General features: G+C 39.3%; 1 long non-coding RNA gene and 1 pseudogene across 1 annotated transcript in view, besides 1 other annotated feature; one reads left to right on the top strand and one right to left on the bottom strand.

Moving 5' to 3' along the window:
* Nucleotides 1-14,956, top strand: part of PTCHD1-AS (PTCHD1 and PHEX antisense RNA) — a 1,100,142-nt gene that overhangs the window by 850,415 nt on the left and 234,771 nt on the right. The window lies entirely within an intron of this gene.
* Nucleotides 5,717-7,231, bottom strand: METTL15P3 (methyltransferase like 15 pseudogene 3; annotated as a pseudogene).
* Nucleotides 8,680-9,879: an enhancer, noted in NCBI's record as "CDK7 strongly-dependent group 2 enhancer chrX:22450970-22452169 (GRCh37/hg19 assembly coordinates)". NCBI's record gives its function as "activates an origin of replication core promoter dependent on BRD2, BRD4, P300/CBP, MED14 and CDK7 cofactors, with strong dependence on CDK7, by STARR-seq in HCT116 cells {active_cell/tissue: HCT116}" and the evidence as "EXISTENCE:reporter gene assay evidence [ECO:0000049][PMID:35650434]".

Genomic DNA, 14,956 nt, shown 5'->3' with positions numbered 1-14,956 from the left:
ATAGTATAGTTTGAAATCAGTAGTGTGATGCCTCTAGATTTGTTCTTTTTGTTTAGTCTTGCTTTGGCTATGTGGGCTCTTTTATGATTCCATATGCATTTTAGAATTTTTTTTTCTAATTCTGTGAAGAATGATGGTGGTATTCTGATGGGGATTCCATTGAATTTGTAGATTGCTTTTGGCAGTATGGTCATTTTCACAATATTGATCCTACCCATCCACGAGCGTGGGATGTGTTTCCATTTGTTTGTGTCATCTATGATTTCTTTCAGCAGTGTTTTGTAGTTTTCCTTGTAGAGGTCTTTCAACTCCTTTGTTAGGTATATTACTGAGTATTTTTTTTTTTTTTGCAGCTATTGTGAAATGGATTGATTTCTTGATTGGATTCTCCACTTGGTCACTGTTAGTGTACAGAAGAGCTACTGATTGTGTACATTAATCTTGTATCCGGAGACTTTGCTGAATTCTTTTATTAGTTCTAAGAGCTTTCTAGAGGAGTCTTTAGGGTTTTCAAGATAAATGATCATATTGTCAGCAAACAGTGCCAGTTTGACTTCCTCTTTACTGATTTGGATGCCCTTTATTTCTTTATCTTGTCTGATTGCTCTGGCTAGGACTTCCAGTACTATGTTAAAGAGGAGTGGTGAGAGTGGGCATCCTTGTGTTTTTCCATTTCTCAGAGGGAATGCTTTCAACTTTTCCCCATTCAGTATTATGTTGGCTGTGGGCTTGTCATAGATGGCTTTTATTACATTAAGGTATGTCCCTTGTATGTGGGTTTTGCTGAGAGTTTTAATCATAAAGTGATGCTGGATTTTGTCTAACGCTTTTTCTGCATCTATTGAAATGATCATGTGATTTTTGTTTTTAATTCTGTTTATGTGGTGTATCACATTATTGATTTGCGTGTGTTAAACCATCCCTGCATCCCTGATATTTATCTTTTTGATATGTTGTTGGATTTGGTTAGCTACTATTTTGTTAAGGATTTTACCATCTATGTTGATCAAGGATATCGGTCTGTAGTTTTCTTTTTGGTTATGTCCTTTCCTGGTTTTGGTATTAGGGTGATGCTAGCTTCATAGAATGAATTAGGGAGGGTTCCTTCTTTCTCTGTCTTGTGGAATAGTGTCAAGAGGATTGGTACCAATTCTTCTTTGAATGTCTGGTAGAATTCTGCTGTGAATCCGTCTGGTCCTGGGCTTTTTTTTTTGTTGGTAGTTTTTTTTTTTTAATTAGCCAACTGATATATTTAAGGACAAAATTACATGAATACAATAATTGTTCATTATTTGATCTTTAAATTTAAAATTTTACATATTCTTTTTTTAAATTTTATTATTATACTTTAAGTTTTAGGGTACATGTGCACAATGTGCAGGTTTGTTACATATGTACACATGTGCCATGTTGGTGTGCTGCACCCATTAACTCGTCATTTAGCATTAGGTATATGTCCTAATGCTATCCCTCCCCCCTCCCCCGACCCCACAACAGTCCCTGGTGTGTGATGTTCCCCTTCCTGTGTCCATGTGTTCTCATTGTTCCGTTCCCACCTATGAGTGAGAACATGTGGTGTTTGGTTTTTTGTCCTTGCGATAGTTTGCTGAGAATGATGGTTTCCAGCTTCATCCATGTCCCTACAAAGGACATGAACTCATCGTTTTTTATGGCTGCATAGTATTCCATGGTGTATATGTGCCACATTTTCTTAATCCAGTCTGTCATTGTTGGACATTTGGGTTGGTTCCAAGTCTTTGCTATTATGAATAGTGCTGCAATAAACTTATGTGTGCATGTGTTTTAATTGCCATTTCAATCTTGCTGTTTGTTATTGGTCTGTTCAGGGTATCTAATTCTTCCTGATTTAAGCTAGGAGGGTTGTATTTTTCCAGGAATTTATCCACCTCTTCTAGATTTTCTAGTTTATGTGAGTAAAGGTGTTCATAGTAGCCTTGAATGATCTTTTGTATTTCAGTGGTGTCAGTTGTAATATCTCCTGTTTCATTTCTTAGTGAGGTTATTTGGATTTTCTCTCTTCTTTTCTCAGTTAATCTTGCTAATGGTCTATCAATTTTATTTACCTTTTCAAATAACCAGCTTTTTGTTTCATTTATTGTTTGTATTTTTTTTTTGTTTCAATTTCATTCAGTTCTGCTCTAATCTTGGTTATTTCCTTTCTTCTGCTGGGTTTGGGTTTGGTCTTTTCTTGTTTCTCTAGTTCTTTAAGTTCTCTAGTTCTCTAGCCTTAGATTGTCTGTTTGTGCTCTTTCAGACTTTTTGATGTAGGCATTTAGGGCTATGAACTTTCCTTTTAGCACCACCTTTTCTGTATCGCAGAGGTTTTGATAGGTTGTGTCATTTTTGTCATTCAGTTCGAATAATTTTTAAATTTCCATCTTGATTTCGTTTTTGACCCAATGCTCATTCAGGAGCAGATTATTTAATTTCCATGTATTTGCATGGTTTTGAAGGTTCGTTTTGAAGTTGATTTCCGGTTTTTTTTCACTGTGGTCTGAGAGAGTGCTTGTTATAATTTCAGTTTTCTTAAATTTACTGAGGCTCATTTTATGGCCCATCATATGCTGTGTCTTGGAGAACGTTCCATGCACTGTTGAATAGAATGTGTATTCTGTGGTTGTTGGATGAAATATTCTGTATATACCTGTTAAGTCCATTTGTTCCAAGGTATAGTTTAAATCCATTGTTTCTTTGTTGACTGTCTGTCTTGATGACCTGTCTAGTGCTGTCAGTGGAGTATTAAAGCCCACCACTATTATTGTGTTGCTATCTATCTCATTTCTTAGGTCTATTAGTAATTGTTTTATAACTTTGGGAGCTCTGATGTTAGGTGCATATATGTTTAGGATTATGATATTTTCCTGTTGGACAAGGCCTTTTACCATTATATACTGTCCCTCTTTGTCTCTTTTAACCACTATTGCTTTAAAGTTTGGTGTGTTGTTTTTTTTTTTTTGAATATTTCAGAAATATTTTATTAGAAAAGTAATGTACATTCATTGTAACATCAGCTTTTATTTCTGTGTACTGTATGAGCTTCCCAAAACCTTTCTCCAAAGTTAACCATTTAAAACTCATTCATGTATTTTATTATGCATCCTACAACAAAGACTAAGAAGTAGGCAAGAATGACTATAAAACACAGCCTAATTACAGAAAAGTTAATCTATTTTTACATGAAAACATTTTGATACCAATTTTGTGTTTATTGAAAGATTTTTCTCATGCATATTATCCGAGATTTTTTTCTGTCAGAGTATTAGTTGCCTAGGATTGCTATAACAAATTACCACAAACTGGATACCTTAAAACAGCAGAAATATATTCTCTCACCATTCTGGAGGCTAGAAGTGCAAAATCACGTTAGCAGGGTTGGCAACTTCTGGAACTCTGAGGGAGAATCTGTTCCATGCATTTTTCCTGTCTTCTGATGGTTGCCATGATGTATCACCCCAATCTGTGCTCCAGCTTCATGTGGCATTCTCTCCTGTGTCTCTATCTTCTCTTCTTTTTATTTTCCTTTTTTTTTTTTTTTTTTTTTTTCAGACAGAGTCTCGCTCTGTTGCTCAGACTGGAGTGCAGTGGCGCCATCTCAGGTCACTGCAACTTCCACCTCCCGGGTTCTAGTGATTCTTGTGCCTCAGCCTCCTGGGTAGCTGAGATTACAGGCACACACCACCATGCCTGGCTAATTTTTTGTATTTTTGGTAGAGATGAGTTTTCGCCATATTGGCCAGGCTGGTCTTGAACTCCTGTACCTGAAGCTATTCACCCGGCTTGGCCTCCCAAAGTGCTGGGATTACAGGTGTGAGCCACCACACCAGCCCTATCTTCTCTTACAAGGAACACCAGTCATGTTGGATTAAGGGCCTGCCCTACTCCAGTATGACCTCATCTTAGCTACTTACAACCCCAATGACGGTATTTCCAAATAAGGTCACATTCTCGGACTCTAGGAAGTACATGAATTTTGAGGGGACACTGTTCAACCCAGAGCATTCAGTTTCTATTTAACATAAAAAATAATTCCCATACTATAAAGGATGAAAAAATGACTTACGAAATAGGTGAATGGTTGTTGAATATACAAATGTGATCTTTTATTTTCCAATTACGTACAGGGATAAGAATTTTTGGGGAATATGTCTCATTCACAAATATGTGTTGCAGGCAAAGAGAACTTTATACATTCTTCAAGTAGGATTCAGAGAATTAACCTAGTTGCATTCTCTTGTTTCTATTTGAAGCATATTGTTCTCCAGATTTTTTTTTTTCTAATTCTGATTTCCCTGTAGGATTGTTCAGATTTAAATAAAGCCTGTAAAGCAGAAGTAGTAAACAAGCCTGGGTACTAAAGTTAAATATTACAGAGGTAGATAAAATAAGTCTGAGGTAAATTCATGTATTTAATTCTTATCTATTTTGCCCATACAGTTATGCTGATATTTCATTCACTTGGATCCACCAACTTAAAATTTGTAACCATAATGGAGAACCTTTTTTCTGTATTTGAAAAATGTTTACTGAGCAAATCAATGGTATAAATATGATTTCAAGGATATCTATTTAAGAGAATATTTATTTATGTGTACCGTTAATCAACATGTCCCCTTCCATACCCCAAGTGCCCTTTGACTAATTATCTCCAACTCATCCTTCAGGTCACAATTCAAGTATTATGTTCTCATACCTGGTTTCTGACAACAGATAAAATCCTTACTAGATGCTCTTACAGTACCAAGTACGACTTGTTTGTAGTATTTGCCACTATGTCCATTTTATATTGATTTTTGTGATTATAATTAACATAATTTTCCTCTACTAAACTCTATAGGACATGTACTGTGGGCCATGTATATTGTACTTACCTTTGCTTTTCTAATGACAAGTTCAGTACTTGCTTGATTTTACCTTTTTACTTTGCTTTCAGTTATTGATGAATAACTGAATAAATTAGAAGTACATATTACATATAAAAAGTTGACATGTGAATTATGAATCAATCTCATCAATTTGTTAAAGAATCTTCTACCAAGTACTCTTTTCTTGAATAAACTTTTACCCTTATTACAGTTACCATATCTTTGTAACACCGTTAAGGGAGCATTGATTTTACTATATTAAATAGTTTTCTATTTCGAATAGACTTGGCTGAATTATTTTGATTAGCTCAATTAAAACATATAAGATTCTAATAAAAGACTTTATTATGTACTAAAGGCATTGTGAGCTATTATTAAATAAATTGACATGAAATATAAGTTTTGTCAAACAATTCGCTGTAAGGATTTTACATTTTTACTTTGCTATATATGAACAAAATGGCCCATATCGTACTGAAAAATCTCTTTGAAATAATAGACTATAATTTGAAAAATGAAATTTTATCAGTATAACACGTAAACTAATATTTTAAAATTTAAAATTTGTAAAAAGCCTACATTTGACAAAGCTATAGTAATTATTCACAAGTAGGGACGTTAAAATTCATCCATAATCATCATCATTTGAGCCAGAGAAAGACTGTTGCAAATATCTAAGTTCAAAATTTAGGACATGCAGGTATGATTTGACAGCTTGGGTTTACATATTTAGATAAACACAACATAGTATTATTTAAATAAAATTTCCTGGCCAGAGGAAGGACTGCATTTCAAGAGTCCAATGTAAAGATTAACACATTTTTCCAGTCTTGAGATGCTGCTGCTCCCTGAGTGGAACTTTCATGGTAATATTTCCTACAGTTTCTTTTTGAGGGGAAAAAAATGCTAAATGCTATCACTTTTCAGACTGTCCCACACTTAAACCTATATCAAGGTGTTCAGGAACATAACACGAGTGAAGGTTAGAGAAATTGTGAGAAAAAAATTTGAAGAATAAGATGATGGTGACTTATAATTTGATAGCTCCTCTAAGCTTGGCTGAGCACCCTCTAGGGTTATCTTGTACATCCTGATCTTGTGGACTAAGTACCTTCTTGTGTATCAATTCTCACATTAAAGGAGCTCTTCTCATAGAGACTTCTTCCGTGTTTTCGTGATCTGAACCCAGTTGCAGTGTTTTCATCACTTGCTGTCTAACACTTAGGTTAAACCTTTCTGTCGTGCTTATTCTAAGCAAACATCTTTTGACGATGCAATCCTGTAGTGAATGGAAGGAGAGGGCAACAAGGCAACCACCAGGTCTCAGAAACTTCTGAGCTGTCTTCAGTCCTGTGTAGAGTTCATTGAGCTCATTGTTCACAAATATGCAAAGAGCCTGGAAAGTCTTGGTGGCAATATGAGTAGATCATTGTAGCAAGTCTTTTCGTGCATAAATAGCAGAGGGAGGAAATGCTCCTGTGATGATGCTGGCAAGCTGCTTGGTTCTGGTGATGGGGTAGATGCTGTGTGCTGAAGCGATTTTCTTGGCATGCTTCTCTTCCCCATATGTTCTTAGGATAGATGCAAGTACCTGTTGATCTAAAGCATTCACAACATTAGCAGCAGTGGGCATGTCAGGGTACCTGCCACCATCCATCATCATGATCCTCATGTCTAAGGGGCCATCTTTCTGAAGAGAAAACCCTCTTTCGGGAGTATCAAGTTGTATGGAGGAACACCCAAGATCCATAAGAACTCCGTCAGTAGTCCCTGGCTGCACTCCAGCCTTCATTAATAAGGCTTCAGCCTGGCTGAACTAGCCCAGCATAGCTCGGATTTGTTTAGGATACAGCTCTGAAAGATGTTCAGCTAATGCAGAAGCTGTTGCGTCTCTGTCCAAGGCATACAGAACAACATCTGACTCCTTCTGTAGAATAGCTTTTGTGTGCCCTCCTGAACCAAATATCATATCTAGAAAAACCTGTCCTTTTTGTGGTGACAAACAATGAACAACTTCATCCACCATTGCTGGAATATGTAATTTACCAATAGTTTCAAAATCTCTATCTTGAGATCTGTTTAACTCCTGGGCTTGAGTTTGATCTGTTTGCTCCTGGGCTTCATATTCTTTATATTTTTCTGCTGTAGTATGTATTCTTTTTGGCCAGACACCTAAATTAGGTATGCCAGATTCCAAACAACATGAAAGACATTCTTTATACATTCTACAAAAATATGGATATTGAAGCATTCTGTAGGTCAACAAATCTAAGGCACGAAGACTTCTCAGTTGGCCTCTAACTTGGGCCAGCGACTACCACTACGGTGCCGGAGAACCTGAATTTGCCCACTTTAAAGTTTGTTTTGTCTGATATAAGAATAGCTACCCCTGCTTCCTTTTGGCGTCCATTTGCATGAAATCCCTTTTTCTACCCCTTTACTTTAAGTTTATGTGAGTCCTTATGTGTTGGGCGAGTCTCCTGAGGCAGCAGATGGTTGGTGAGTTCTTATCTATTCTGCAGTTCTGTATCTTTTAAATGGAGCATTTAGGCCATTTACATTCAATGATGCTATTGAAATGTGAAGTACCATTGCTTTCGTTGTGTTCTTTGTTGCCTGTGTACTTTGGTTTTTTGTTTGTTTTTTGTTTTTGCTTTTATATTTTTGTTGTATAGGTCCTGTGTGATTTATGCTTTAAAGAGGTTCTGTCTTGATGTGTTTCCAGGATTTGTTTCAAGACTTAGGACTCCTTTTAGCAGTGCTTGTAGTGGTGGTTTGGTAATGGTGAATTCTCTCAGCATTTGTTTGTCTGAAAACGACTGTATCTTTCCTTCATATATGTTTCTTAGTTTCACTGGATACAAAATTTTTGGCTGATACTTGTTTTGTTTGAGGAAGCTGAAAATAGGTCCCCAATCCCTTCTAGCTTGTAGGGTTTCTGCTGTGAAATCTGCTGTTAATCTGATAGGATTTCCTTTATAGGTTACATGGTTCTTCTGTCTCACAGCTCTTAAGATTCTTTCCTTCGTCTTAAATTTGGATAACCTGAAGACAGTGTGCCTAGGCGAAGATCTTTTTGTGATGAAGTTCCCAGATCTTCTTTGTGCTTCTTGTATTTGGGTGTCTAGGTCTCTTGCAAGGCCAGGGAAGTTTTCCTTGATTATTCCCCCAAATAGGTTTTTCAGGCTTTCAGAATTCTCTTCTTTCTCAGGTACATCAATTATTCTTAGGTTTGGTCATTTAACATAATCCCAGGCTTCTTGGAGGTTTTGTTCATATTTTCTTACTCTTTTTTCTTTGTTGGATTGGGTTAATTAGAAGATCTTGTCTTCGAGCTCTGAATTTATTTGTTCTCTTGTTCAGTTCTATTGCTGAGACTTTCCAGAGCATTTCGCATTTCTAAAAGTGTGTCAAAAGTTTCCTGAGTTTTTTATTGTTTTTTTCTTTAAGCTGTCTATTTCCATGAATATTTCTCCCTTCACTTTTGTATCATTTTTTGGATTTCCTTGCTTTGGGCTTCACCTTTCTCTGTTCCCTCCCTGATTAGCTTAATAACTAACCTCCTGAATTCTTTCTGGAATTCAGGAACCATGTTTTCTGGCTCCTTCTCATTTGGGTAGGCTCTGTCAGAGGGAAGGTCTAGGGCTGAAGGTTGTTGTTCAGATTCTTTTGTCCCACAGGGTGTTCCCTTGATGTAGTACTCTCCCTCTTTTCCTATAGATGTGGCTTCCTGTGAACCGAACTGCAGTGATTGTTGTCTCTCTTCTGGGTCTAGCCACCCAGCAAGTCTACCTGGCTCTGGGCTGGTACTGGGGGTTGTCCACACAGAGTCCTGTGATGTGAACCGTCTATGGATCTCTCAGCCACGGATACCAGCACCTGCTCCAGTGGAGGTGGCAGAGGGTGCAATGGACTCTGCAAGGTTCCTTAGCTTTAGTGGTTTAACGCTCTATTTTTGTGCTGGTTGGCCTCCTGCCAGGAGGTGACGCTTTCCAGAAAGCATCAGCTGTAGTAGTGTGGAGACGGACCGGCAGTGGGTGGGGCCCTAGAACTCCCAAGATTATGTGCCCTTTGCTTTCTACTACCAGGGTAGATAGGGAAGGAGCATCAGGTGGGGGTGGGGCTAGGTGTGTCTGAGCTCAGACTCTCCTTGGGTGGGTCTTGCTGCGGCTGCTGTGGGGGATAGGGGTGAGATTCCCAAGTCACTGGAGTTGTGTACCTAGGAGGACTATGGCTGCCTCTGCTGAGTCATGCAGGTTGTCAGCGAAGTGGGGGAAAGCCAGCAGTCACAGGCCTCACGCAGCTCCCATGCAAACTGAAGGACCAGTCTCGCTCCCACTGTGCCCCCCACCAACAGCCCCAAGTCTTTTTCCAGGTGGAGGGCAAGATTGACTTGAAAACTTGCCCCAGGCTATGTGCCTCCCAGCTGTGAGAGAAAAGGGCTTTAGTTCTTCCTCTGCCTGTGAAGTCTGCATACCCAATTTGTGCCCTCCCCCAAGTTCTGGCTAGGAGGCTTCTCTCCTCGCTCAAATTGTTACGAAGTTCAGCTAGAGAATTCCTTCTCCCTGTGGAGTTTTACCCCCTGTTCCTCTGGCCACCCTCCCAATGGATCCCTGTGGTGCCAGGCAGGAATGGGCTGCTTGGGGACCCAGCGAGCTCCCAGGGCCTTTCTGCTGCTTCCTCTGCCCTTGTATTTCACTCCTCTCTCTAACTTGACTCAGCTCCAGGTAAAGTTGGAAACTTCTCCTGCAAACAGACCTTCAGCTTCTCTAGTGATTCGGGAGAGGCAGTCTCCCTTTCCCACCTTCACAATTGGGGCACTCACAGTATTTGGGGTGTCTCTCGGGCCCTGCAGGAGCAGTCCGTTTCCTTCAGAGGGTCTGTGGGTTCTCTTGGGATTGCTGGTTTCTTCCTGCAGTGGATCTGGAGCTAAAATTCACAATGCAAGCCTCCGCTTCACAATGTAAGCCTCCGCGTGCTGCTCTATCTGGAGCTGCAATCTAGTCCTGCCTCCCATCTGCTATGATCCCCTGAATCCTCAAGAAAGAATTTAGTATCAATTATTGGCCTACAGTATAAACTCCTTGAGATCAGGGACAACCTTTTTGTTCTCAATATCTAGAACCTAATGTTAATCCTCTCAATTATTCTTAAACTATTGAATGGGATATGATGCCTCTCCTAAGGATCTTTGCAATTAAAACCTTATCTCTAAATAGAATGAAAGATTTAATCTCCTAATAAAGACATTACAAGGGAAGTGGGGCATAGAAGGTATTTTTTGCAGAACATCCTTCCAGTATTCCTGAAAAAAATACCACATTGGTTGACTTTTTTGTCTGAACATGAAGCAGGTTAGAGTGCTGGAAGCAGATATGGCGAGAGGAAGCCATCAATCCTCCTCCCCTGAGAGGTGAGCATTATTCCTACTTGCATAGCAGGAGCCTGGCAGTAAAGAGACGGGCACATTCAAATGGTGTGAGCTTAACAAAGGACTATTAAAAGGAACCCAACAATGGATAATCCAGTACTCTGGGAATAGCGTATAAAGAAGCTGTTACGACTCTTATGCCTGAGAAGGCAAGGGCACAGGCAATCTAACAGGAGTTGTAGCCTTCAGTAGAAGCAGCCAACCGGCAATGACTGGGCAGGGAAGGAGATGAGGGAATAAAAACCCTGATCTCATTCTCCTCTCCTCCTACCTACCTAGCTCTTCCTGGGGCTTCATTGGCCAAAATCAACTAGGGGCTAAAAAGCCAGGGAACCCATAGGAGCAGACAATAAGAATCAACCTGCTAGGACAGAGCAGGATGGGAAAAAAGCAGAAGGTGGACCTGGAGTGGCAGATGGAAAGGATCCAGGCTTCTACTCAAACAGCTTGCTAACAAGCATGACAACTTCCATGCAAGCTTTGGCAGGACAAGCCCAGTTCTGACCCCTGATTCACAAAATCTTGTATTCACCTCTGGTCTCCACGGGTCTGCCCTCATGAGAGTAAGAGCAAGAGTCATCATACCTAGGAGAAAATTGTCAGGGTTTATTGTTCCTTTCAAAGCCACAAAAAAGCATCTCTACTTTGTCCAAGCTTTGCCTGAGGTAGAAGATGTTGTATTTTAAAGCCTTGATTTAAGTGAGAAAGTCTCTCCACTCCCAAAACTGAATGATGTGCATGGCTGATTCCATGGTCCTGCCCACAGCCCAGTCACATCTTAACCCACCTGAAAGTTTCCAAGCTCTTTAAAATGACCACATCTGCCGGGTTCTAGGCCTATAGGCTCCTTTCTGTGAAGACAAAAGAACTTGGCTGTCTTGTAAGATTGGATTCATCTTTTGCAGCAGCAGCATTCTGGTAGAGAACAATAACTTCCCATAGCTTCTTGCAAGTGCAGCTTGCTGGAAAGAAATAGTGTTTCCTCCCGCCCCCCAACCCAGAGGGCTTTAAGAGAAAACCAACTGGAAAGATCTGTTGGAGCCACAAAAGCGGATTCTCTTTCTCCTTCTTTTCTCCTTTATATCTTATTTTACTTTAGCCATAAAACATGCATCGGATTGTAGAAATTAAAGCCCATCTCAGCTTTAATGAGGCCAATTTCTGTGCTGATATAATAGTTGACAGCAATGCAGGCTTGTTTATTCTTCACTGAAATGGATGTCCCACCAAAATTCACAGGAATATACCAAGAATATAATGAAATAAAAGTTTTTAGAAATCCGTTTGAAAAATATACCAGAATAATCAAAGATTCTATATTAGTAAAAGGCCTTAATAGTACCCTTTTGTATATAAATGTAGTCCTCCATGCTTGGGAACCAACTGTCAGAAGACTGTAAGTTTCAAAAGAATGGGTTTAAGATAAGCCAATATGATGTCAAATTTTGTGGAGTCCAGATGGTTCTGTTGAACTTGTCTTTGGCTGCTTGGTTTGTGGGGATTTTTCTTCTGAGAGCTAAATAAACGTGGGTGGTAGAAACATAGCTAGCAACCCAAGAAATACACATGAGTCACTGTAGTAAATGTTTCAGAGTATGTGCCCATCCTGAGCTCCACTTCATCAATCCTCCTCCCTCTGAGAAGTGAGACCCCGAAGCCACGTCGTTGCCGTGTCTCCACCACTTGTTGACCACAGCTAATTGGACCAAAAGTAGACACTTAACTCAGGGAAACCAATTCAGAACCTATATTGGCAGAAAAAAAAAAAAAAAAAAAAAACTCTTTCGCCATTCGGTATTGGGACACAGAAAGGTCAGTAAAACTACCTATAGGCAGTCATCTTATAAACTGATAGAAACTTGACTAAAGGCCACCATTTAGAGGCAGCTATGACATTCCATGCATAAACATGGCAGAAGAATCAGCCTTGAGGAATAATAAAAAAGAAGCCACTAATAGAGATGAGAAGATATAAAAGACCATATACTCCAAAGAGAGATATGAATACAGATAGGAGAGGTCTGCCTTGAATTATGTTGACTTTCCAGGTCCTGTTTCCAGTCCCTACTGAGGCCTGATTGTAGGTATTGCCCTTAAGATCTTGGAGATATCCTTGTATCTATTCAAGAAATATCTCCTTTTGCTTAACCCACTTTGGATTTTACCATCAAAATTATGTGTGGACATAATTAACTCCGGAAAGAGCAAATCAGGCATCTCAGGGCTTTAGCTTCCAGAAGCAGTATCATGTAGGCACAGGGATTCCCAAAAAAGTGTTGAGCCTGGTTCTCTAACATCAGGATGGAGTATGTCAAAGGGAATCTTTCTACAGCATTGAAGGAGACAGGATGATTGGCAGTCCATCCACAGAAGATGGAGTTACATGAGGCAGCTATTAATTCCTTGGCACTGATAGGTGGGTAGGGTATGCTAGGGGCAGGGATTCTTCAAGGGACTTGCTTCCTTACTCTGTTCTTTTTCAACGCTTTACACTCAGCAGAACCCCAAGACGTGTGTTTACATTTTGCTGTCACCCGTAGCATTGCCTGTTTTATGCATCAGCCTGATCTTCATTTTAACCATACCAAGCTTATGATGTTGTTACTGACCCTACCAAATCACACTTGTTTAATTCAGCAAAGATAAAAACATTGAAGTTAAATGTAAAGCAGTGCCTTATAAAATATGTAACATTTCCTAAAAAATGACACAATGTACTTTTATTTTTCAAAGCTCTTGCTTGTTGTTGACGTAACATCTCCAGGTAGTGATAAAGTTTGGGTTATGTGCCCTGTTTCAAAAGGCTTTTTACGTATTCTGTTAGTGCTCCCTATAGAAATCCCATGAGTCTGGAACCGCAGGTGCTAATAAACTTATTTAAATGGAAGAAGTGAGGCTCAGTAAGTCAAATGCAGCCACCCAATGTTTTTCAGCTGATATGTGAATGAGTAGGGACACAAATTTGGAAGTTGTAACTCTGAAACCTATACTCTTTCCACTCTAGAAGAAATGTAGAATTCTGCAGAATGTCTAAAATGCAGTCTTTATCGTGGGAACCTATTTAACATGGGTTCTCACTACAGTGTTTCTAGTTAATAAAACATGAGAGTAAGACTATATCTGACTCGTTCATACATTCCTAGCACATAGAAGAATATGGAATATGTGAAAGGTGTGTGACTTGGGGTGGGCTTGCCAGAAACAAACTCTGAAATAAGAATTCATGTGAAAATGGATTATTAGGAGGTGTTCTCAGGAAACCAGTAGGGATCTAGGGAAATGGGACTAGGAAGGGAAGGAAATCAAGCAAGGATAGTACATTAATTCCCAAGGATAGTAACTTTGACTCAATCCCATAGGCAAGTTCTGGAGTCTAGGTCACACCTCAGAGTGGTCCCCATAAGGGGAAACTGTGACTGGAGCATTTATTTCTTCCCACCTATCAATCATTTTTTAAGGGATGCCCACAGAGGGATGTAAATTTCTAGGCACTTTTAGTTATTCAGGCAAAATGGGCCTTTGTCAGTTTGAGGGCAAACCTTTGACAATGCAACACAGACGCTGGCTTCTGAGAGTAACAGCACACCAGGAGTCATGTGCACAGAAATGAAAAAGGGATCCAAGGAAATATGGACAGCACAATGATGGCATCTGGCACAGTGTTCAATAAATAGTTGTTGAATGAAAGAAATCGAGGAAGAAAGGATGAAAAAAGGCAGGAAGGAAGGAGGAAGGGAGGAAAGATGTAATATTATCTAAATATCGTAGCAACATTTGGAGATAGATACATTTTTCTCCATTTTTCTGATGAAGGAACTGAAGCTCAGAACGATTACAAAGTTTGCTTAGGTAACACAGCTTGTAATAGTAGAGTCAAAATTCAGGCATGTCTACCTAGCTCCAAAGCCTCTGTACTTTCACTACTCTATCACATCGAGCTGTCATTCACATGCTGCCTGACCTCCATGGAAACTGCCTTACCACCTTTTTCAACCCACCAAGAGTCGGCTGTCATGGGTGAAAATCTGGATCACGTTGTAGCATCCACATACCTTTGTCCCAAGCACACATCTTCTCTTGTGTCCTAAGATCTTGTCCATTTGAAACAGGATTAGAAAAAAAGAGTTGGACATACAGATGTTCAGATAAGAAGTGTTGACACCATTCCCTATGCAAAAACAATGAAACATGCCAAGGCCTAATGAAGAGTCCAGTCTCCTGAACTCTCCTGGCATTTTCAGCAGACTGCAGTTTTCTGAGAATGTCTGTGTTTTCCAGAGCATGTCTGCTCAGAATGTATGAGCCAAAACCTCCTAGGGATTTTCCATCAGTTGTTTATATTGTGACTGGATCTACTCGAATGAGTTTATTATAAATAAGATAGAGTGATGGGGGTTTTTTTCATGAATTGAGACTGAAAATTGGTTTTAAATATTGTTTTCAGCTCTAGACTAACTATAAATGGCATTTAGACTGATTGCACTATTAGCAGGTAAAGGGTGCTGAGTTTTAAGGGATTACAACCTGATTTAATATAATTATGAAACCAAATTATAACTAGAGGGGTTTGGTAGGCAGTTATAAGAAGCAGCTATTTCCTTTTTTGTATAATACTAACACATATCCTATTAAACATACAATT

The sequence above is a fragment of the Homo sapiens genome, chromosome X (assembly GCF_000001405.40).
Source record: "Homo sapiens chromosome X, GRCh38.p14 Primary Assembly".
NCBI classification, from domain to species: domain Eukaryota; kingdom Metazoa; phylum Chordata; class Mammalia; order Primates; family Hominidae; genus Homo; species Homo sapiens.
This window is presented reverse-complemented; position numbering and strand designations above follow the sequence as displayed.